This window comes from Homo sapiens, chromosome 20 (assembly GCF_000001405.40).
Source record: "Homo sapiens chromosome 20, GRCh38.p14 Primary Assembly".
Lineage (NCBI taxonomy): Eukaryota > Metazoa > Chordata > Mammalia > Primates > Hominidae > Homo > Homo sapiens.
Window position 1 is genome coordinate 31,393,479 of NC_000020.11, and position 25,266 is coordinate 31,418,744.

A 25,266-nucleotide genomic window follows, 5' to 3' on the forward strand; every position below is an offset into this window, starting at 1 on the left:
GAGTTCAAAACAGTGCCTGGCAGGTAGTAAGTGCTCGATACATTTTAGTTACAATTTCTTTGTTTCCAGGTAAGGGAGGAGAGAATTTAGAGCCTTGAGCGCATTTGACCTCTACAGCCTCAGTGAAAACGAAGCCAAGTTTCTCTGTTGTGTCAGGGATTAGGGCTTGGAGAAAATAGGCAAGATCTCAAGAAGCCCCTGTCAGGCATGGAGGAAATACACTGGGCAGAAAGCTGTGAGGGGGGACCTGCGATCAGGGCTGGATGGCTCAATAGGAGGACTGAGCACCTGCCCAGGCTCAGGGCACTGGCAAGACATGGGCCAAAACAAAGCAAGAAAATCTAAAGAACCCCCTTTAATTTCAGTAGACAGGAATGCTTTGTATCATTTCACAGAAGTAAAATTTTATTTCAGAGTTGAATGTTGTTTTATTTTGAATTCCACTGGGAGTGCTGTAAACTTCTTGGTGTTTAACGTTACTAAAGTTGTTCATGAGGACTTGCTTGGTGTGTAATGGAGCTGACCAGGATAAGGGAATTTGGGGGTGCTATTCAGCAGTGTGATGAACACACCAGGCATGCAATTTGGTCCAAAACTGAGCAACTTACCATGTGTCCTTAGCATGTCATGCAACATCTACAGGACTCAATATTGAAATGAGACATCATAGCAGAGGAGTTACAAGCCTATATTCTGGAGTTAGTCTCCTGGCTGTGTTACCTTATAAAAGTTACTTAAGGCTGGGTGCGGTGGCTCACGCCTGTAATCCCAGCAATTTGAAAGGCTGAGGTAGGCAGATCATTTGAGGCCAGGAGTTTGAGACCAACCTGGCCAACATGGTGAAACCCAATCTCTACTAAAAAATACAAAAATTATCCAGGTGTGGTGGGACATGCCTGTAATCCTGGCTATTCAGGAAGCTGAGGCAGGAGAATCGCTTGAATTCTGGAGGCAGAGTTGTAGTGAGCCAAGATCACACCACTGCACTACAGCCTAAGCAAAAGTGTGAGACTCTGTCTCAAAACAAAAAAAAGTTAGTTAACCTCTTTGAATCTCAGTTTCCTCTTCTATAAAATGGGGGTAATAATATTTCATAGGGTTGATGTTAGGATTAAATGAGTGATTACACATAAGGCACTTCGAACAATACCTGATACTTGACTTCAATATAAATATGTGGTGTTATTATTGTACTAGACCAGAAGTTCCCAACCTGGAGGTTCCAGGCATTTCCTCACTATAGCTCTTTTCAATATTTCATAAGCCCTCTTAGGAATCCCTGTTTGCAAAGGACTGCCCAGGGAGTACTGTGATGACTCAGAAAAATGGCCTTGACCAACATAAGGAGAAATTGAAAAAGATGATTTAATTGCAATAGAACGTTTATATTTCAATATCTGGGTTTATATTTGTGTTGTATTTTGTTTGTGTGTACTTATGTATACATGTGTAGATTTGTGCAAGTGTTTATGTGCTCAAATTTTATATATTTTATGTATATTTTATGTGTTTATATGGTTTATATGTATTTTGCGTGAGTATTTGAATGTGTATGTGTACATGCATTGATTCTTACATTAGTTTGCATGTAGACATGTAGAACATGTGTTTCAGTGTTGTTTAGTACCTGTGTACATGTGCATCTGTTCTCAGATCTCCAAATGCCGTAGCCTGAGCTCCAGTGAGCTCAGTCCCTTTGTTCCTCTCAGGTCTCTACATCCTGTGACTCTGGAACATGACAGTTGCTTGATGATTCTTCTATTCAGCTAGGAGATCTGGGCCAAGGCTAAGGGAAGTATGGGGAGCATCGTGGCCAAGAAGCAGAGGCCACTAAGGGAAAAGAGGCCAGGAGATACGGGATGAGGGGAGTCTTAGTCAGAGAGCCAACTTGGCCCATAATTGCTGCCTGATATCTTCTGGGGCCCACCAAGACTAGAACAGACTGTAGCTTCAGCCTTTGTAATGCCTCCCACATGGGTACAGCCTGGCCTGGCCAGTTCTGAAGACTGGACACCACCCACTCCCTCGAATCTGTGCAGTTGCATTTGTAAGTCCTTGAAAAGCCACCCATTCCCTGCAGCCTAAATTCCACAGCAGGGAGAGTAGGGAACCATTCATACTAGTTATCAAGTTCCCAGGAAGGAGTTCACACAGGCCAGGTATTTTTACCTTATCTCATTTACTCCTCTCACTAACCTATTAGTTTAATAATATGACAAAAAGATGAAAGAAATAAGAGTCATAAAGTCACAGCCTTTTATGGACATCTTTCACCTCCATGCATTTACACCATCTCCTTCCTTTCCCAGTGACGTAGGAAAAGTGTCCAGGCAAGGGTAGGTGGTTCAGAGAAAGATAATATGAGGACCAAGTTTGCATAAAATTGTGATGCAGCTATTTTAGAGTGGCTGGATTCCAGAGAAATCCTCTACACCAGCATATCCCCAACTGTGTCCCATTTCAAGCACTGTTCCATGGAAAAAAATAAATGCTAGTGAGAATATTTATCCTACAATTTATTAAAATATTAACAGTCACATACCAGCTATGAATGCCCCCCACACTCAAGCCTCAGGAAATGCTGTAATTACTTATTTGTTTTAAGTGCAGCTCCAAGACACTACTTGCCAAATTAGTGAGATGTCCAATGTCAGTTATTATTGGGATTTCATGCCATCCTCCACTTGATCCCACTAGGACCCCATGGTTCTGGGAAATGGGGAAGGATCTGGTCCTTATTCAATGATGATGACCTTTATTTCCTTGCTCTTCATGGTTGGGATATTGCTGATGGACTCCATTGGCTGTTCATTGAGGTGTGTGTGTGTGTGTGTGTGTGTGTGAGTGTGTGTGCGTGTGTGGTGTTGTTGTTGTTGTTTTGTTTTTTCTTGTTTTTTTTTTTTGAGACAGAATTTCACTCTCGTTGCCCAAGCTGGAGTGCAATGGCATGATCTCGGCTCACTGCAACCTTCGCCTCCCAGGTTCAAGCAATTCTCCTGCCTCAGCCTCCCGAGTAGCTGAGATTACAGGCACACACCACCACACCCAGCTAATATTTTGTATTTTTAGTAGAAATGGGGTTTCACCATGTTGGCCAGGCTGGTCTCGAACTCCTGACCTCATGTGATCCGCCCTCCTCAGCCTCCCAAAGTGCTGGAATTACAGGCATGAGCCACCATGTCTGGCCCATTGGGTAGTTCTGGGCAGCTGGAAAATTGCTCTTCATCATGTCTACCTCCACCAACCACGAGCTCAGCCATCAAGACCTTTGCTGCCCCTCCCAGGGCTATGGTCACAGTGGCTGTCTCCACAGTGACTGCCTTCCATGCAGGCAACCCCGTCCAGCACCTGCTACCTTGGGGTGCTTCATCAAACTCCCTTGGAGCCAAACCCCCATCTCCTCTCCCAGTTCTGAGGAAATTCAACACCCTTAGATGCCATGACACTCCTCTCTCTTGCCCTCGAAGCTAAAATTCCTCATCTCACTTCTGAAACGATACAATTTTTTTCTTCCAAAAGTTTTATACTTTTTTAAATTTTATTTTACTTTAAGTTCTGGGATACATGTGCAGAACGTGCAGGTTTGTTACATAGTTATACATGTGCCATGGTGGTTTCCTGCACCCATTAACCTGTCATCTAGGTTTTAAGCCCCCATGCATTAGGTATTTGTCCTAATACTCTCCCTCCCCTTGCCCCCCACTCCCCAACAAGCCCAGGTGTGTGATGTTCCCCTCCCTGTATCCATGTGTTCCCATTGTTCAACTCCCACTTACGAGTGAGAACATGCGGTGTTTGGAAACCATACAAATTAATTGCCCTCTTTGTGCCTACTCCTCCCAAATAAAAAATTGTAAGGGTTGTCTTCAGGGCAACCCCTGACCTATGCACGCGCACGCGCGTGCACACACACACACACACACACACACGGTTTCAATTCCCCAGTAGAAAAGGAAGGCCAGGATTTAGAACACAAAATCCTGACTTCCTTTCCAAAAACAGGACAGAAAAATATCTTTTCATTCTTTCTGCTGATATCTGTTCAAACAAAATGAGGAAAAATTTTGAGGTAATTGCTACACTAAATTCTTGATACATCACCCTGCCAAAAAGTTTATTTAAAAAAGCATTAAATATGTGTATATAGTTGATCTGATTAATACACAAGACTGAGCAACTTACCATGTATCCTTGCTTTTTTTTGTTGTTTTTTGAGATGCAGTCTCACTCTGTTGCCCAGGCTGGAGTGCAGTGGTGTGATCTCTGCTCGCTGAAACCTCCGCCTCCTGTGTTCAAGCGATTCTCCTGCTTCAGCGTCCCAAGTAGCGGGGATTACAGGCTCCTGCCACCACGCCTGGCTAATTTTTTTGTATTTTTAGTAGAGACGGGGTTTCACCATGTTTGCCAGGCCGGTCTCGAACTCTTGACCTCAAGTGATCTGCCCACCTCAGCCTCCCAAAGTGCTAGGATTACAGGCATGAGCCACCATGCCCAGCCAAGTTCTTGCTTTTAAATGAGAATACCAGACAGTGAAGGAAAATGTTGCCTAATTTATGAAAGCACAACCTTATTTATTTATTTATTTATTTATTTATTTATTTATTTATTGAGATGAAGTCTCGTTCTGTCACCCAGGCTGGAGTGCAGTGGCATGATCTTGGCTCACTGCAACCTCCGCCTCCTGAGTTCAAGCAATTCTCCTGCCTTAGCCTCTCAAGTAGCTGGGACTACAAGCACACATCACCACTCCTGATTAATTTTTGTTTTTTGTTTTTGTTTTTGTTTTAAGATGAAGTCTCACTCTGTCGCCCAGGCTGGAGTGCAGTGGCACGATCTTGGCTCACTGCAACCTCCGCCTCCCAGGTTCAAGCGATTCTCCTGCCTCAGCCTCCTGAGTAGCTGGGATTACAGGTGTGCGCCACCATACTCGGCTAATTTTTGTATTTTTAGTAGAGACAGGGTTTCACCAGTCAGGCTGGTCTTGAACTCCTGACCTCGTGATCCACCCGCCTCAGCCTCCCAAAGTGCTGGGATTACAGGTGTGAGCCACCGTGCCTGGCCTAATATTTGTATTTTTTAAATAGAGACAGTATTTCACCATGTTGGCCAGTCTGGTCTCAGACTCTTGACCTCAAGTTATCTGCCCACCTCGGCCTCCCAAAATGCTGGGATTACAGACATGAGCTACCAAGCCTCACACAACTCTCAGTCTACTCATTGATAATGAAAACATTGACTGGTGACTATCACAGTGATGGACGTGACCACCACATATTTCTGTTAAGTGTCTCATCTTATATTTTTAATATATATTTTAGTATCATTCTGTGCTCATTGAATATCAAACACTCTTCTAATGTGAATAAACCTGAAAGAAGGAATTTTCTTGTGAGGCCATTTCTGCTGTCTATTTTAAGCTAGTTATATATCTCATTTAGACCATCAATTGCTCAACTAATATTGGTTGAATATGCAATTTATGCCAGATTCTGTTCCAGGTACAGAAAACAAATCAGTCATGGTCTGTGTCTTCATGGAGATTACAGTCTATCATGAAGATGAACAGTAAGCAAAGGTTAAGTACAGGTGCAGTGGGTGCTGCAAAGGTGACGTGCAGGATGCAATTGGCAGGGCTGGATCCAGGGTGAAGTGAGAAGTGCAACAGGTACTTAAAGGGTGACATTTAAGGAGGCATTTGCATGAGCCTGAGAGTGAGTGCCTCTTTATGTGTCACACCCTAGACACCTCCTGCTCCTCACCCTAGTCTTGGCCCTGGCTATCAGAAAAGCGAAGGTGGGGTGGAAAATATTCTGCTGTAATATTTGGGGTAACATTCTCTGACAGTTGTCATTTACTGCATCTTTGGACACTCAGTATCTGAGCTCCTTTCCATTAGGGAAGCTAGTCTCTATTTTTGTGGTCTTGGTGGAAAGGAAGGCTGACCTTCAACTACAGAATATCTTAAAGGCAAAGATTCTCTTTTGCCACCTTGGGAGTTAGCAGACAGGTGCATGACCCAGGCTCAGCCAACTGGGTGCTCCAACAAGGGACTTGAATCTTAAAGGGCTAAAGCCAAACCACAAGGAAGGTGGAGGAAATACACAGTGGCAGCAGCAATGGCAAGAGTCCAGGTGTGATACTGATGCACAGTGCTCTGGCAGCAATGCTCATGGTAAGATCTTGGCAGGCTATTTCTGCTGCCCACTCCGTCTCAGTCTTTCCAAGCCTGATTGTCCAGACTTCTGGTCAATTTTATGAGCTACATGTTATCCTTCCAAGAAATTATCCTGTTTGCTTAAATTGCTCTCTAATGAACTCTTACATTACATCCAATAATAAATGTAAGGTGTTTCATCTTCAAATATGTTGAGGGAATGTTGCTATATTCAGTAAGGAACTCTTGTGAGATTGGGTGTCAGAACGTGGGACAATCTGACCTGGCAGAGAGATTAGAGGGACAGCAGCAAAACTCAGGGTGGAAGGCCTCAATATGGGAAAGAGGAGGGAGACTGCTAATGAGGGACTGAGCTGAGATAGCAGTCCCAAAAAGAGTAAGGAGAGTAAGGTTTGCACCAAAACATCACAGAGGAAGAATCAAGGGGCTTCGATGGCTGACTTGATGTGAGAAGTCAAGAAATGAACATACAAAGTCAGTCTCAAGACAGCATAGAGCTGCCATCAGATTATTTTTTTTTCTTTCTTTCTTTCTTTTTTTTTTTTTTTTTTTTTTTTGAGATGGAGTCTCGCTCTGTTTTCCGGGCTAGAGTGCAGTGGCGTGACCTCAGCTCACTGCAACCTCCGCCTCCTGGGTTCACATGATTCTCCTGCCTCAGCCTCCTGAGTAGCTAGGACTACGAGTGGCCACCACCACACCCGGCTATTTTTTTGTATTTTTACTAGAGACGGGATTTCACCATGTTGGCCAGGCTGGTCTCAAACTCCTGACCTTAAGTGATCCACCTGCCTCAGCCTCCCAAAGTGCAGGGATTACAGGTGTGAGCCACAGCATCCGGCCTGCCTTCAGATTCTTGAATGACTGCCTGTACACAGACAGATCTTTGTGGACTCAAAATATAGAACAAAGGCTTCATGTAAATGTAACCAGAATTTAGATAACTCCAGTTTGGGCACAAACAGTATTTTCTACCCCTCCCTTCCCACCCACTTCCCATTGCTAGATGTGTTCTATAATGTACTCAAACCCCTGAATGCTCAGATTGAGTCCTTTCTTCTTGAATCTAATGTTCATCAGAACCTCAGAAAGAAGCGCTTGAATATCTTAGACTTCCCCCTTCTGTAAGGTCCCTTAAACTCATGCTGTGCCACTTCTCAGAACATCCACATCAAGGAAAGAGGAGTTTTCCTAAATCATGGAGAGTAAAACATGGGTGGAAAAAGAAGGCTTGAGTTTCAGGCAATGGTAAAACACAAGAACTTGAAAAGGAAAACCTGTTTGAGTGGGAAAGTGACCATCCTTGGAGTTTAACTATTCATATAGGTAGCAAATACTTATTGTGTTCTGATAGTGTGCCAGGCACCATGGAATGGTGAGCAAAACCAACAGGGTCCCTGCGATCATAAAACCCAAATTCTCCTGGAAGAGAGACAAGAAACAAGTAAATGAACAAAATAATTACTGATTTTTGAGAAGTGCTAGGACATACATTTGCCTAGTGATATAAAGGACTTCATTAGATATAATAGTCAAGAATGACATTTAAATTAAGGCCTGGAGGATGGGACAAAAACAGTCATATAAACATCAGAGGCAGAGCCTTCTTGGGAAGAGGGAACAGCATGTAGCAAGGCCCTGAGACAACAAAAGAGCTTGTTGACATCAAGGAACAGAAAGGAAACCTGGGTGACCTGAGTATAAGGAGGAGGCCAGAGAGGTGAACAAGGCCTGGTAGGGCAGGGCCTCCCAGTCCATGACAAGGAGTCTGGATGTTATCTGGATGTTATTCTTAATGAAATGGAAAGCTATTGTTTGGTGCAAAACAGAGTAGTGACAGGATATCCTTTACCTTTCTGGATTTAGGACTAGATCTGAAAAAAATGAAAATAATTTACCATTTGGCTGCTATGTGGAAAATTAATTACAGAAAACAGGAGACTATTGTAAAAGATCAGGTGAAGATAGCAGTGGCCTGAACTAGATGGAGAGAAATGGATAATTTTGATATGTGTTTTGAAGGTAGAGCCACAGGACTTGCTGAGAAATTGAATGCAGGGAGGTGAAGTGAGGAATCACACATGACTTGTAGGTTTGGTGCATCTGGGCACATGTTGTTACCATTTCCTAAGAAGGGAAATAACAGGGTACTAACAGTGCCTAGTGAGGTGAGGTCCCCATTAGGAGTTCCATTCTGATATGTTAGGTGACCAGATGGAGATGTCATTTAAGGGGGAAGATATACCAGTTTAGACACTAGAGAAAGTTTAGGGTAGGAGCTATGAATTTGAGAGTGATCAGCATATAGAGGGTAGTCAAAGTACCTAGTGAAAAAGAGCAGAGAGAAAAGACAAAAGGAGCCTAGAAACAAGTCCCTGGCCTTTGGAAAGGGAAGGAGGAGCCAGGAGAGAAGACTGAAAATGAATGGCCGAGGTGATCAGAGGAAAACCAGGGGAGTCTGCCATCTTAGAAGGCAAGAGAAGAAAGCATTTCAATGAGGATGTCGTGGCCTCAATGTCAAACACCTCTTCAGAGGTCAATAAGAGGAAAACAGGGGTGCCTCTGTTGGGTTTGGCAACACTGGAGATAGTTGGTAATCTTTACTAGAAAAGGTTCAGAGGCACAGTCAAAGCCAAATTGAACTGAGTTGAAAGGTGAATGAGAAAAAAGGGATAAAGTGAAGGCAGGCAACATTTTGAGAAGTATTTGTTTAAGCACTGCAAATAAACGAGGCATCGTCCAGAGAGGAATGTGGGACTCAGGGATCTTTTTTTTTTTTTAATCTGGGAGGTACTCGAACATCTTTGTATGATAGAAATGATCTGGCAGAGAAGGGGAGAATAAGGAGAATAAATGAATATGAAGTTATTGAGTAGGGGAGAGGAGACAAATGTGAACAAGTAAGGGGGCCAGTTTCTCAGGTGTAGACATCATTCTTCCACTGAAAACAAAAGGAAGACAGGAGCTGTAGGACCCAATACCGGAGTGTGTAGACTTAGTAGAGAGAAGATGAAGGAGTTGCTTCTGATGGCTTCTATTTTCTTGAAATATGAGGCAAGAAGTGATATTTTGGTGGGGACAGGGAATGGTAGAAGATTGAGGAGAAAGGAAAAATCATGGACTAGTCATTTCAAAGAATGAGAAATCAAGCTTCTTAGGGAAAAACAGGAGATTAGCTGGGCAGTGTTGAGTGGTCTTTGAGGTTGGAGGCCGTGAATTTCCAGTGAAATCAGTGAGACTAGTTGGATTATTTTTTCTAAGAACAATCAGCTGCTGACCTATATAGGTCAGGCACAGTGGCTTACGCCTGTAATCCCAACCCTTAGGGAGACCAAGGCAGGAGGATGATCACTTAAGGCCAGGAGTTCAAGACCAGCCTGGGCAACATAGCAAGACCCCCATCTCTATTAAAAAAAAATTTTTTTTAACTGCCAAGAGTGGTAGCACACACCTGTAGTCCCAGCTACTTGGGAAGCTGAGGCAGGATAATCCCTTGAATCCAGGAGTTTAAGGCTGTAATGAGCTATGATCACACTACTGCACTCCAGCCTGGGTAACAGAGTAAGATCTTGTCTTGAAAAATAAAGTTTACCTATAGAGAAAGCAAGTAGGTGGTTGTATTCTACCATGGTTGGGAGTTTGGCATTGATACAATGCAGAGTAGAGCAAGGGAGCTAAGTCTGCAAGAGAAACATTACAGGGCTAGACTGGACGGAAATTGAGTCGGGAGGGTAAGAAAATTAGTGAAAAAATGGTAGGGTATAGAGCTTTACTTCAACTTTAAGAGTTATTAACTCTGAGAAGTAGGAGTTGGTGGCAACGTAGTGAAGGAGGATTTAACTTTTTCCAGGCAAAAAATTGCTACGCAGAGCCTAGAAGTAGCAAATTACAAAATGAGATCTACCTAGATTCTACTTACATTTATCAAGAACTGAATGTGGGCTAGATTCTGTGCTGGGCACTTTCCTGTCTGTTATCTCATTTAATTCTCATGACATCCCTATGACTTGAGTAGGAAAGTTCCCCATTTTAGAGACAAGAAAATAGAGCAGAGAGGGTTAAATGGCTTGCCTAGGGTCATGCAGCTGACATGCGATTAAGCAAAGATTTGACTCCAGATCTTCTGATCCTGCTTCGAACGCTCTTCCCTAGACAGCTTGATGATACTTAGACACTGACTCTGAGGCTGAAGTTTGTCATCAGGAAGGTGAACTGGGGACATAGGGCTGAAGCCAGGTCAGGACTCCAGTATGAAAGGGCTGAATAGGAGGCAGGTGACTCCAAATAGAACTTTTCAACTCAGGATAAAGAATCAAGTTCTTTTACATTAGTCAGATAAGTAGCAAGAGTTGGGGATACTTGGGATCATGGGGCTGAATGTGGTAAAATTCCTGTCGTCTCAGTTCAGGATCTGTCCTGCAAAATGATTAGCCAGCAGTTTAATGTCCCATGGCCACAACTAGAGGGAATGGAAAGAGATGGAGCAAGGATCCACAGATGGCCTGATGCCAGCACTGTCCACCATGAGGAAGACTCACAAGAGGCATTGCCCTAGAGCCCCTGAGGGGCAGAACTGCAGGTGTGATCAAGGGAAAGTTATAACCTTTGGTGTGGGAGTAGAAAGAGGCCATGGGCCAAGAATGGGTTCTTGTGTTCATCATACTTGCCTCCTGGACTCCCCTAAAATACTCATAGATTGAGACCCACAGCATGCCTCAGCCTAGACTCTAAAGCCATTGCTATACAATACAATCACCACTAGCCACATTTAGCTATATAAATTTAAAGCTCGATTGAATCAAATTAAAACTTCGGGTCCGCATTCACACTGGGCACATTTCAAGTGCTCAGTAGCCACATGTGGCTAGTAGCTACCATATTGAACAACATAGACAGGAAATATTTCCATCATGGCAGAATGTTCTATTGGCAGTGCTGGTCTAGAAGAAAACAGGAATCAAGTAGATATAATGAATATTCTTTAATTCATGCCCTCTTGGACCAGCTATGGGTCAGCAGGCTAGGAGCTATTTGCAAGGTTTAGATTGTTACCACCTACTGGTCCATCCTGTTCTTCCTAACATGCACACCGGACACACACACACACACACACACACACACGCACACAACCTTTCTTCTTTATTTACTTGTTTCTAAATGTAACTAGGTGGAACTATCAGACAGAAACAGGGTGTTGCCAAGAATGATTTAATAGAACTGCAGGATCCCATGATGTTGAGACTCAAGGTTGGAAGAGAGGTGTCAGACTGCAGAAGTTGATTCCAGGCTTGTATTTGTGTCTGTTAATTTTGGTTTTACAGGTACATACTTGGGATCCACACAGCACTTAGCCTCAGTTTTGCATAATATATAGTATACTTCACTTTCTTTACATGTTGTTCTGCACCTGCCTGACTTGCCCCAACATTTCATGACTGAAAACAAAAGGGAAGAAGAGAATAGAGTCAGTTTTGAAAGAAAGCAGAAAGGTGTGAAAGGAAGAGGCTAAAGCCCAGTAGAGGAGTAGGAGGGAAATGAGGAGGTCTGTGGGGAAGAAGCTCTTACACAGGATCCCCTAAGTTTAAGGGAGATTATAGACCACTACGCTTTCTTCCTTCACTTGTGCCCCCTGTTAGAACCCCCAGAGTCCCCCCAACTCAGTGGCATAGGACCTACTGGATAGCTTCCCCTCCTTGGCCAGCTCCTTGGGAGGGGGAAGAGGACCCCTCTCCCAAGGGTTTTATCTCCCCCATATTATAATGTACCCAGGTGCCCAGTAGCAATTAGCCACCTTTTCTCATTGTTCTTTGGTACCCCCTCTGACCATATCAATGAAAGGTGACAGGAATATTAAATAAACTCATTTAACATCTGTAAGTCTTCTAGGGCACCTTTAAAACTCCCAAGAATATCATACTGCCTTCTTCACAACATCCTGGGACTTTTCTCTGGCCCCAACCAGTCAAGGGAATTAGGAACAGCTATTCCAGGGAACCTACAACCTAAGGTAACCCAGATGATTTGAGGTTGCATTAAAAAGTGGAATCAGAATCCTCAAACAATCAGAAATTTGAGAACCATTTTCCTAGAGGCAACAATGCATCAAAATTCAAATCCTTTCAATGAATGTTTTTGAAAAAGTCCCCATTTTCTCTATACTCCATACCCAAGTCTCTCTCTTTACACCCTATCCCATCCTCAGGTCATCACGTTCAGCTTTTCCAGAGCTAACCAGAGATAAGGTTGGAATGGTCAAGTACTGGGCACTGGGAAGACCATTTGGTACCAGAGAACTCAAACTTCCCCATAACTAGAGAGACTACCTAAAGGCCTCAATGAGCTCTACCAGGCCATTCTCCCAGCCCAACCTGTCAGAGTCCCCAGAGTTCTCTGAACATGCATCAGGTTTCCTGACTCCCATCCCCTTCTGGAGATCCTGTTTACCTGGGGTGACCTGGGCCAGGAGCAGAGTAACAGTCAAAAGCAGAAGAAGGAGCTTCATGAATGATGAATGATCAGGGAGGGATAGGAGGCTTCTCAACTGGTAAAACAGACAGAGGACTCCATTCTGGGCAGTCCAGACTGGTATTTATTGCCTTGAGGAGCATGGCAGAGCCAAGATCAGTGAACCAGAACGGGAACAGTCATTTGAGATCAGACAGGCAGGCAAGGAAGGTATCAACCACACTGCCTGAGGAGGCTGGGAGAGGGGGAAGGGACGTTAACAAAGAGAAGATACGGCCTTGCCTCTGAAGAATTTTATAATACAGCTGGAGAACCAAGAAGGGGAAAAATATTTTCATCTCTAATTTGTTTTTCATTAATGAGAAAAAAAGAGAGAGAAAAAGAGATAAGACAGAAAAGGAGTGATACTTCTCTGCGCCTTGGGTTCTTCCCAGCAACAAGGACATCTTAGGATGTCCCATATGTTGATGATTCATTATAATACCAAATGAAGGGCAGAGCAGGGGAAAATACCTTAATAGCTCCATGGCCATCACCACTGGAAACCAGAATGTCAGTATTCATGGAGTGGAATGAGCAGGAAAGCCATAGCCCTTACTTTTAACAGTACATATTTAATAGGAACAAGTAGCACCCTCATAGGTAGCAAAAGAAAAGCCATTTATTATTGTTGTGGTCTTTTTTTTATTATTACTTATTTTTTTGAGACAGTCTTGTTCTGTCACCCAGGCTGGAGTGCAGTGGCACAATCATAGCTCACTGGAACCTCGAATTCCTGGTCTCAAGCAATTCTCCTGCTTTGGCCTCCCAAAGTGCTAGGATTAAAGGCATGAGCCATCATGCCCAGCTTGGTCTTTCTTATAAGAAATGGTAGATTGCCCCAGCAACTTGGGAGGCCGAGGCAGGCGGATCACAAGTTCAGGAGATCGAGACCATCCTGGCTAACTCAGTGAAACCCCGTCTCTACAAAAAAAAATACAAAAAATTAGCCGGGCGTGGTGGCTGGCCACTGTAGTCCCAGCTATTCAGGAGGCTGAAGCAGGAGACTAGCTTGAATCCGGGAGGCGGAGGTTGCAGTGAGCCGAGATTGTGCCACTGCACTCCAGCCTGGGCAACAGAGCGAGACTCTGTCTCAAAAAAGAAAGAAAGAAATGGTAGATTGTAATCTTGGCCCTACTTCTTCATCCCTACTTGAATTCACACATTTGCCAAGGTCTCATCCTAGGAGAACTCTATTTCATTTTCCCTTCACTTTGGCCTTGGCATGTGATTTGCTTTGGCTAGTGATATGTGGGCAGAAGTGACGGTGTGCCGGTTGTAAGCCTAGGTTTTAAGAGATGATGAATATTTTCATTTGCCCTTCTGTGTCTCTGCCATCACTATGAGAAGAACATGCCCCAGTGGTCCAAGGAGGATGAGAGATACGTGGGGCACAGCTACTCCAGGCGACTCACAGATCTACAGTGAGAAACAGAGCTGCCCCAGGCATTCCAGCCTCAAGCAGGGCAATCTAGCCAAATATAAAGGATTGATGTTTTAAGCCACTGAGTTTTGGAGTGGAACATTACATAGTAATGGCTAACTTATACACAAGGCCAGCAGATAGATCAGGAAAGAGCCAAGTGCTTTTTAGGACAATAATGGTAAGGTCTATCTTTCTTTTCTTTTTCTTTTTTCTTTAAGACAGAGTCTTGCTCTGTTGCCCAGGCTGGAGTGCCGTGGCACCATCTCAGCTCATTGCAACCTCTGCCCCCCGGGTTCAAGCAGTTCTCCTGCCTTAGCCCCCCGAGTAGCTAGGACTACAGGCACGCGCCACCACACCCAGCTAATTTTTGTATTTTTGGTAGAGACGAGGTTTCACCATGTTGGCCATGGCTTGTCTCAAACTCCTGACCTCAGGTGATCCACCCGCCTCAGCCTCCCAAAGTGCTGGGATTACAGGCGTGAGCCACTGCACCTGGCCTAGGTCTATCATTTCAAAATGGACAGAAATAAAGACATACTAATAAGAGGAATATCTTCTTTCTAACATGGAAGAAAACAACAAGCCAGGAGCAGAGGCTCCTGCCTGTAATCCCCACAATTCGGGAGGCTAAGGCAGGAGGATTGCTTGAAGCCAAGAGTTTGAAACCAGCCTCAGCAACATAACGAGACTCCATCTCTACACACACACAAAAAAAGTTTTAAATAGCCGGGCATGGTGGGGCAAAGCTGTAGTCCTACCTACTAGGGAGGCTGAGGCAGGAAAATCATTTGAGCCCAGGAGGTCGAAGCTACAATGAGCTAAAATTGCACCACTGCACTCCAGCCAGCTCAACAGAGACCCTGTCTCCAAAAACAAAAAAAAGACAAGATAAATTTTCTTGTTGTCTGAAGAAAAATTAATGCTCCGGAGGTCACTTTTTCTATAAAGCCCAGATGGTAAATACTTTAGGATTTGCCAGCCACAACTATCACAACTACTCAACTCTACAGCTATAGGACAAAATTACCCACAGACAATATATAAGCAAATGAGTGTGGCTGTATTCCAATAAAACTTATTTATAGACACTCAAGTTTAAATTTTGTATAATTTTCACATCTCTAAATGAAATTTGATTGTTTTCAACGATTTAAAAATGTACTGGCTGGGCATGGTGGCTCACGCCTGTAATTCCAGCACTTTGGGAGACTGAGACAGGTGAATCACCTGAAGCCAGGAATTCGAGACCAGCCTGGCCAACATGGTGAAACCTCGTCTCTACTAAAAATACAAAAATTAGCCATGTGGGGTGGTGAGCAACTGTAACCCCAGCTACTCGGGAGGTTGAGGCAGGAGAATTGTTTGAACCTGGGAGGCAGAGGTTGCAGTGAGCCGAGATGGTGCCATTGCACTCCAGCCTGAACAACAGGAGTGAAACTACATCTCAAAAAAAAAAAATGTACCAAGGCAAACAGATCACTTGAGGCCAGGAGTTTGAGACCAGCCTGGATGACATAGCAAGGTCCCTTCTCTATTTTAAAAAAACTTGTTAAAAAAATAAAATAAACAAAATTATTGCTGATTTTCTTGGTATCTCCACTTTGGAAAAACAGTTTAACAGTTTCTTATAAAGTTAAACATAAACTTATCATACAACCAAACAACTCCTCTCTTTGGTATTTATCAAAGATAAATGAAGACATATGTCCACGTCAAAACTTGAATTGTCATAGTAACTTTATTCACCATAAGTGAAAACAACCCAAAAGTCCATTAATTAGTAAACAGATAAATTCTGATATCTCCATGTAATAGAATACTATTCAGCAACAAAGAATTAACCACTGCTATGCAACATACGGATGAACCTAAAGAGCAAGCTGGGTGTGGTGGTTCACGCCTGTAATCCCAGCACTTTGAGAGGCCAAGGTGGGTGGATCATCTGAGGTCAGGAGTTCGAGACTAGCCTGGCCAACATGGTGAAACCCTGTCTCTACCAAAAATAACAAAATTAGCCAGACATGGTGGCGGGTGCCTGTAATCCCAGCTACTTGGTAGGCTGAGGCAGGAGAATTGCTTGAACCCGGGAGGCGGAGGTTGCAGTGAACCTGAGCCAAGATCATGCCACTGCACTCCAGCCTGGACAACAAGAGCGAAACACTGTCTCAAAAGAATAATAATAAAAATAATAATAAACATTTTTTAAAAGCATTAGCCTGAGTGGAAAAATCCAGACCAAAGAAGAACATACTGAACAAGCTTATTCACATGAAACTCTAGAAAACACAAACCTAATCTACAGTGACAAAAAACAGATCAGTGGTTGCCTGGGGCTGATGGGAGGAAGTGGGCATTGACTGAGATGGGGCATGAGGGAACTTTCAGAGTGATGAAAATGTTCTATATGCAGATGTCAAAATTCATCAAAATTTACACATTATGTTTTATATAAATTATACCTCAAAAAAGTTGACTTTAAAAAAAACCTGTGCAAATAGTTTTTAAAATAAGCAACAGAATCCGATAAATAACATAAAACCACTTAAAATATATACACATTTAATGTGGTACACATATACCATGGAATACTATGCAGCCATCAAAAAGAAGGAAATCACATCCTTTGCAGCAACATGGATGCAGCTGGAGGTCATTATCCTAAGCCAACTGATGCAGAAACAGAAAACCAAATACCACATGTCCTCACTTACAAGTTGGAGACAAACCTTGGGTACATGTGAACATAAAGAGGGGAACCATAGACACTGGGGACTACTAGAGTCAGGAGAGAGGGAGGGAGGCAAGGGCTGAAAAACTACCTATTATATACTATGCTCACTACCTGGGTGACAAGATACATCATAGGAGTTAAACATCATAGGAGTTGCCTATGTGAGAGATGGATAGGAGTTGATTATGGGGATAAAAGTTAATAAATCAGTAAAATAAAATAAGAGAAGGGCTTTGTATAAGGCCAATGACAATAAATCTGCCATAAATACATAACCCTCTGCAACAGAGGACTAAAATAAAGTGCTATATTGACAAGGGGCTTACTTCTAAAGATCATTAGTAAGGTATCAGCCCCGTGGACTGGAACCCATTTCCTCTCCTTCCAGAAGGGACTGCAGAGAGGAAACCTGAGATGCCATTCAAGCAAACGGCACAACTTCCTCCACTCTTGAGAAAGGGGATTGTTTCTGGTTAGAAGGGTAGGATACTGGGCTGAGAGCCTTGAAAAATGAGAGAGAGAGAGAGAGAGAGAGAGAGAGAGAAAGAGAGCAACTCATGGGAGCACCATCCTTGCAGAAGTCTTAGTCTAGAAGGTACTTTCTTTATGCATCCAAGGAACCCCCAGTGGCACAGAGTTTCATCTACACTGAATGGTTTTGAGATCTACTTCCCTTCTTTAAAGAACTCCATCATAGCCCTGCAAGTTTGCTCTTGTGAACACTGATAAGCAGAATAAGGCTGCCTAATAAAGGGATGACCTGAATCCATTATGTGCATGATTTATCGGAATTAATAGTAGTTTTCAGCAGTAGAGAAGACTCTCATAAAAGACCCTTTTCCTATCTGTCACAAAAAACTGTGAAACAAAATGCCTTGATTGCTTCGTGAGCTAAAAAGGACTTCCCACAGCTGAACTATATACATCTACAGTTCTGGAGTGTCCACCATTCTTAGATTCTGCTTAAGATTCCACATCTTAACTTCTACTGATATCCAACCATGTTGCCAAGACTCCCATTTCAAGCTCTCCAAGGAAATAATCTGATTGGCTGAACATAATCTTATTCATTATCTAATAGAGATAAACCATTTTAAAAGGATAGAAAACTGTGGAACAACCTCCCTTACTGATATCTGCACATTTCAGCTTTTCTTTGTTGCCACACATGAAGTCATATCATATGCTCTCAATAGATGGGGTGAATGCCTTTCAGTGAAAAAAGAAAAGTAAAAAAGAATGTATGAACGCAGAGCAAAAAAAAAAAAGAAAGCGATAAAGATCTGAGGAGCGAATATGTGTTTTCCAAAGATTACAGAACTACAAATGAATCTGCAAATGGTACATTAGGAAAATTATCTGAGGATGAAGAAAGGTAGGAGGCACTCAGTAGAGAAAGGTTGGTACTGATGAGTGGACGGTGCTGTGAAGTGTCCAGGAGCCTGGAGTCCACATATTAAAGGTGTACGCAGTTACCTGGACCTAAGTCCAATTCAGTGTACTCAACCCCTTTAAGTAGGTTTCTGCAGTGCTGTGGTCCTTAATTCAACATCATTCCCCTCTTCTTGAGCCTCAAGTGGGTACCACTGCCATCTCTGGCTTAGTAGAAGATAGGGTGGTATCTGAAATTCAGAAAACTCAGAACCTGTTCCCTGCCTGGCCATTGACTCTTGCTTTGGCCCATAAGTCATAAGTGACCCTAACTGAAGAGTTTGCCCAGCATCCTTCTACTCCCTTCTCAGATTTCTTCCACCCACTTCTGGTTAGTTCCTTGCTCTCAGCACTGCAGCAGGGAAAGGAAATATATCTACATATCACTTCTTTGTAATCTTTGGGGATAGGAAGCATTGGAGGGTAGTGGGCAAAGAAGATGAAACTTCAGGCCCAAATAAGGCTTGGAAATTTTCTGGAGTTCTATTATATTCCAACTCTCTGGTTCCTGGTGCTATGTGTAACTAGTAATGGTAATGGATATGTTGGGCTTTTTTCTTTGATTTATTTGAAGTGACGTTTGACAATCTATCACTAGGGGTAATGTGGGGAAATGGAAAGAATACAAGATTTGGAGCCAGACAAATCTGGGTTCAAATCCTCACTTTGCCACATATTAGCCATGTGACTTTGAACAAGTTAGTTAATCTCTCTGAACTTCAGTTTAATTATCTCTAATATGGAGATGATACTACTGACAGCAGAGGTTTGCTGTGAAGATTAAATTAGGTGATGCTTGTAAAGCTCAGGGAATAGTGCCTGGCATAGAGGAAAGCCTCTGACAACTGGTAGTTACTGTTATTTACTATGAATCCTCACCTTCCTTGACTTCTTGAAACATTTGGCTATTGACCTCTTTCCTCCTTGAGGCTCTTCTGGCTTTTCATTGTCAACACAGTCAACGCTCAATACAAGGGACATTAGGATTGGCAGTAGCTCAGAGATCTCTCTGCTCACCGTGATCTTCAAGTTTGAAAATTGCATCTCAAATCTAAGACCCAGAGGGCTCACCCAGAGTCGAGGCTCAAGGACAGCTCTCCTTTGTGTCCAGAGTGTATACGATGTAACTCTGTTCGGGCACTGGTGAAAGATAACAGAGGAAATGCCTGGCTTTTTATCAGAACATGTTTCCAAGCTTATCCCTTTTCCCAGCTCTCCTTGTCCCTCCCAAGATCTCTTCACTGGCCTCTTATCTTTACTGTTACCAAATCTTTCCAGAAGCTGCTCTTTCCCTCAATTGTTCATTTGTCTTCTTGTCCAGGAATGAACCACTGCTCTCTTCTTGTCAGATCAGCTTCTCATCCCTCCTCAAGGGCCTTTAACTACTCCACATCCAAAGCTACCCAGGCCATTTTAAGTTTCCTGTGGACTAAGGACAAAGGTGCGGGGAGATGAGGCCAGAAATGTTCAAGAGGGTTTCTGTCCCTAACATGCTTACCGCTTATTGAGGAAAATGGGAAACAAGTATTTTTAAATGAGCTTCATATCCCTCAAAAGCACACACAAGAAATGTTTTCTAAATAAATCAAATCTTGATTAAGTACCTTTTACATACAGAGCACTCTCCTGAGCACCAGGAATTCAGAGCAGTAAGGATACTGTCCTCTAACAGCCAGCTCTGTTAGGATAAACCAGGGTATGCCACAGTAACCAAAAAAAGAAGAATCTTGGTGGCTTCTAAGAACAGAGGTCTGTTTGTCTATTTCCCATACATGCTGCATATCCACTGAAGGCTGGCTGGGGACACTGCCCCATATCTCAGTGTGGAACCCAAGCTGACTGAGTAGCCACTCATTTGGTGCTGATCACCATGGCAGAGGAAAAGAGAGCTCTAGAGAGTCTTCAACTAGCCATTATATGCCCTGGCCTTGGAAGTAAAATGTAACCACCTCATAACTCCACTGGCTACGACAGTGACATGGCTCCATCCAACCACAAGAGGGCCAAAAGTACAATCCTACAATGGGCTTAGAATGCAGAAAGCCAGAATTATCCAAACAACAAAAGACAATTGTGGGCAAGGCTGTGGAGAAAATGGAACCCTTGCACACGCTGGGTGGGAATGTAAAATGGTGTGGCCACTATGGAAAACGGTATGGAGGTTCTTCAAAAAATGAAAGATAGGCGGGGTAAGGTGGCTCACGCCTGTAATTCCAGCACTTTGGGAGGCTGAGGCAGGCAGATTACCTGAGGTCAGGAGTTCGAGACCAGCCTGACCAATATGGAGAAACCCTGCCTCAACTAAAAATACAAAATTAACTGGCCGTGGTGGCACATGCCTGTAATCCCAGCTACTCAGGAGGCTGAGGCAGGAGAATTGCTTGAACCTGGGAGGCAGAGGTTGCAGTGAGCTGAGATCATGCCATTGCCCTCCAGCCTGGGCAATAAGAGTGAAACTCCATCAAAAGGAAGAAAGAAAGAAAGAAGGAAAGAGAGAAAGGAAGGAAGAAAGGAAGGAAGGGGAAGGGGAGGAAAGGAAGGAAAGGAAGGCAAAGGAAGGAAAGGAAGGAAAGAAAGAGATTATATGACCCAGCCATTCCATTTCTGGATATATATCCAAATAAACTGAATCAGTATCTTGAAGAGATATCTGCACACCCACGTTCATTGGCATTATTGACCATAGCCAAGATATGGAAACAAGCTAAATGTCCATCAACAAATGAATGGATAAAGAAAATGTGGTGTATACACACAGCAGAATACTAGTCAGCCTTTAAAAATAAGGGAATTCTGCAACATGTGATGACGTGAATGAGCCTTGAGGGCGTTATGCTAAGTGAAATAAACCAGTCACGGAAAGACAAATGCTGAATTATTCCAGTTATACGAAGTGTCTAAAACAGTCAAACTTATATCAACAAAGAGTGGCATGATGATTGTCAGGAGCTGGGGAGTGAGGGAAATTAGGAATTACTAATCAATGAGCAGAAAGTTTCTGTTAAGCAAGATGAATAAATTATAGAGGCCAGGCGCAGTAGCTCACGCCTGTAGTCCCAGCACTTTGGGAGGCTGAGGCAGGAGGATCCCTTGAGCCCAGGAGTTCAAGACCAGCCTAAGCAACATAGCGAGACCTTGTCTCTATTAAAAATAAAAAATTAGCTGGGCATGGTGGCATGCACCTATAGTCCCAGCTACTCAGGGACAGTGGGGAGGTGGTGCTGAGATGGGAGAGGATCTCTTGAGCCTAAAAGGTGGAGGCTGCAGTGAGCCGTGCTTGTGCCACTGCACTCCAGCCTGGGTGACAGAGTCAGACCCTGTCTCAAAAAATTTAAAAAAATGTTTAAAGTTTTAGAAATCTGCTGTACTACATTGTACCTAGAGTCAATAATAATGTGTTGAACACAAAAAATTGTTAAAACAGATCTCAACATGTTGTGTTCTTACCACAATAAAATAAAATCTTTGAAAAACTTAGAAAGCCAGAATATTTGATGTACAGTCCTTTTTTTTTTTTTTCTGTTGGAGACAGAGTCTCGCTCTATCCCCCAGGCTGGAGTGGAGTGGTACGATCTCGGCTCACTGTAACGTCCGCCTCCCAGATTCAAGCGATTCTCATGCCTCAGCCTCCCAAGTAGGTGGGATCACAGGCACCAGCCACCATGCCTGGCTAATTTTTCTATTTTTATTAGAGACAGGGTTTCACCATGTTGGCCAGGCTGGTCTCAAACTCTTGACCTCAGGTGATCCGCTAGCCTCGGCCTCCCAAAGTACTGGGATTACAGGAGTGAGCTACCATGCCGGCGATGAACACTCTTACTGACTACCAAATATATCATCACAGTGGTCAGGCAGAATGTCCACATACATAAAAATACTGCAAAGTAGGCTGTCTAATCAAAATAAATATATATATATTACAGTAGAACGGAGCATGGGAACAACCACCCAAGGGCCAGGGCATTCAGGGAGGGGTTCATGGAGGACCTTCTCCTTCTCCAAGGCTTGAAGGAGAATAGGTTTCAGAGAAATGGTGGAGAAGGAGAGGGTGTAAAAGAGTACTTCAGGCAAGGGAGCAGTGTGAACTGAGGAGTGGTGGCAGGAACATTTGCAAGCCATCTGGAAATAATGAAGATACTGCCTGGCTGCAGCTGCCAGCTCCTGCACCATATAATGTGGGAAAACTGCATAAAAATGAGATTTTTATAGTCTTTGAATGCAAATGTAAAATACTTAGACTTGGTTCTCAGGTCAAAATCAGGGAACTGAGGGAGGTTGAAAAGGCAGAGATCTGCGCCCTTCTTCCCACTTTTTTGTTTGTTTGTTTGTTTGTTTTTAGACAGAGTCTTACTCTGTCACACAGGCTGGAGTTCAGTGGCACGATCTCGGCTCACTGCAATCTCCACCTCTGGGGTTCAAGCAATTCTCCTGCCTCAGTCTCCCAAGTAGCTGGGACTACAGGTGTGCGCCACCACGCCCAGTTAATTTTTGTATTTTTAGTAGAGATGGGGTTCCACCATGTTAGCCAGGCTGGTCTCAAACTCCTGACCTCAAGTGATTTGCCCGCTTTGGCCTCCCAAAGTGCTGAGATTACAGGCATAAGCCACGGCGCCTGGCCTTCTTCGCACTTTAAACTGAGCAGCTCTACTTTGATCTGTTTGATATATTGAGTTTCATGTAAGTTTTTGGTTTTAAAAAGTTTTCTGCTCCTTTAAAAATAATATTTGAAAAACCTTAGTTTTGGAAATACAGAGCCATTTTTTCTTTAAGTTTGTGAGTGTAGAGTCTCAGAATTCAGACCTTAGAAGTTGTTGCATCTGCCACGTATCAAAAGCAAGAACACCCTCTAAACAACCCTTGCCTTCTCTCTTAAAGCTCTTCCAGCAATGGAAAAATCAATACATGTCAAGATAATGCATTCCATCACTGGACGCCTCTAATTTTTAGGAGATTATATCAATTAAGCCAGAATTTACCTTTCTGTAACATCTACCTATTATTCCTAATTCTGACCTTTAACAGTTCCAGAGAATAAGTCCAAAAACAATTCCACGTTAAGCGCTTGAAGACAACTATCATGGGTCTATTTGGTCTTTTTTTTCCTAGGCTTATTATCCCAAGTTTCCTCTCCCTATAAAGTAGAACAGTATATTCTCTTATACTGGTGAGGCCTCTCAGTATACTCTGTTTATCTGAGTCCTCTCCCTTTCTTAAAGCAGGGAGACTGATCTCAAGCAAAAACCTTAAAAGGGGTGTTTTAAGACGGATAAGGCCCAGTAGCTTGTCTATATAGGCCTCCCTTCACATTAGAAAAGAAAGAAGGCCGGGCGCAATGGCTCACATCTATAATCCCAGCACTTTGGGAGGCCGAAGCAGGCAGATCACTTGAGGTCAGGAGTTCAAGACCAGCCTGGCAACATGGTGAAACCCCGTCTGTACTAACAATACAAAAATTAGCCAGGTGTGGTGATGTGTGCCTGTAATCTCAGGTACTTGGGAGGCTGAGGCAGAAGAATTGCTTGAACCTGGTAGGTGAAGGTTGCAGTGAGTGGAGGTCACACCCCTGCACTCCAGCCTGGACAACACAGCCAGACCCTGTCTCAAAAAGAAAGAAAGAAGAAAAACCAGTAATGATAAAAACTTAGAAATTAAAAGTACAAAGATGAAATTTCCAGAAATTATAACAAAATGACAGAGATAAAATAAAAGCAGTAGAGAAAATATAAGAAAACCAGCAAATCAATCAAGGAGTCCAACATATGAAAAATAAGTAGACCAGAAACAGGGAACAGGAAAAACAAAGACCAGGAAATTATCAAAGAAATAAGTAAAGGAAGATTGTCCTAAAATTGAAAGACATGAGTTTGCAGATTGACAGGGCCCACCGAGTGCTCAGAAAAATTGATTTCAGTAATCCCACACGAAATTTAGGGACAATGGTTGGGCACAGTGGCTCACATCTGTAATCCCAGCACTTTGGCAGACCGAGGCAGGCCAATCACCTGAGGTCAGGAGTTTGAGACCAGCCTGGCCAACATGGTGAAACCCCGTCTCTACTAAAAATACAAAAATTAGCCAGGCATGGTGGTGGGCGCCTGTAATCCCAGCTACTCAGGAGGTTGAGGCAGGAGAATTGCTTGAACCCAGGAGAAGGAGGTTGCAGTGAGCCGAGATTGTGCCATTGCACTTCAGCCTGGGCGACAAGAGCAAAACTCCATTTCGAAAAAAGGGAAAAAGGCCGGGCGCGGTGGCTCACGCCTGTAATCCCAGCACTTTGGGAGGCCGAGGCGGGCGGATCACGAGGTCAGGAGATCGAGACCATCCCGGCTAAAACGGTGAAACCCCGTCTCTACTAAAAATACAAAAAATTAGCCGGGCGTAGTGGCGGGCGCCTGTAGTCCCAGCTACTTGGGAGGCTGAGGCAGGAGAATGGCGTGAACCCGGGAGGCGGAGCTTGCAGTGAGCCGAGGTCCCGCCACTGCACTCCAGCCTGGGCGACAGAGCGAGACTCCGTCTCAAAAAAAAAAAAAAAAAAAAAAAGAAAAAAGGGAAAAAAGAAATTTAGGCACATCAACATGAAACGTCAAAATCCTAGAGAGAAGACCTTAAGAGCTTTCAGAGAGAAATAACAAGTCACAGACAAAGAGAAGAACCCGAATGGCTTCGGATTTCTCCACAGTAAAGAGGTAGGAGGCAGGACTCAACTCTAGATAGAAAACTGGCTGAAACAGGGAAGAGGCACCAAAATCACCTTTTCATAAGACTCGCCCACCAATGTCGTGACAGTTTACCATTGCCATGGCAACACCCGGAAGTTACCACCCCTTTTCTAAAAATTTCTAAAAAACCCTTCCCTTAATTTTCGTGGAATTAAAAATGGATATAAATATGACTACAGAAGTGCCCCTGAGCTGCTACTCTCAACACACTGCCTGTGGGGTGGCCCTGTTCTGCAGGAGCCTACAAGGAGCTGTAACACTGCCACCGCCTCCATAAAGCTGG

The 25,266-nt window shown here is 43.5% G+C and overlaps 1 protein-coding gene across 3 annotated transcripts; it reads right to left on the reverse strand.

Moving 5' to 3' along the window:
* Nucleotides 1–11,366: 11,366 nt before the first annotated feature.
* DEFB121 (defensin beta 121) lies at nt 11,367–25,044 on the reverse strand. Of its 3 annotated transcripts, XM_005260383.3 has the most exons (4): nt 25,016–25,044; nt 19,530–19,693; nt 19,144–19,404; nt 11,367–11,607 (listed from the first exon to the last, which is right to left on the reverse strand). In XM_005260383.3, the coding sequence occupies exons 3-4, from the start codon at nt 19,163–19,165 to the stop codon at nt 11,435–11,437; spliced, it is 195 nt and encodes a 64-aa protein (XP_005260440.1). In that variant the 5' UTR covers nt 19,166–19,404; nt 19,530–19,693; nt 25,016–25,044; the 3' UTR covers nt 11,367–11,434. The 3 variants fall into 3 exon arrangements, with proteins under 3 accessions (XP_005260440.1, NP_001165303.1, NP_001011878.1); NM_001171832.2 differs by lacking the exons at nt 19,530–19,693; nt 25,016–25,044 and having other exon boundaries at nt 19,144–19,360; NM_001011878.3 differs by lacking the exons at nt 19,144–19,404; nt 19,530–19,693; nt 25,016–25,044 and adding an exon at nt 12,617–12,737.
* Nucleotides 25,045–25,266: the final 222 nt, after the last annotated feature.

Coding starts and splice junctions, on each gene's coding strand:
- DEFB121 (NM_001011878.3), bottom strand. CDS start 12,674: ATGAAGCTCCTTCTTCTGCTTTTGACTGTTACTCTGCTCCTGGCCCAG. Junction 11,608..12,616: donor CCTGGCCCAGGTCACCCCAG/GTAAACAGGATC, acceptor TTTTGTTTTCAG/TCATGAAATGTTGGGGCAAG.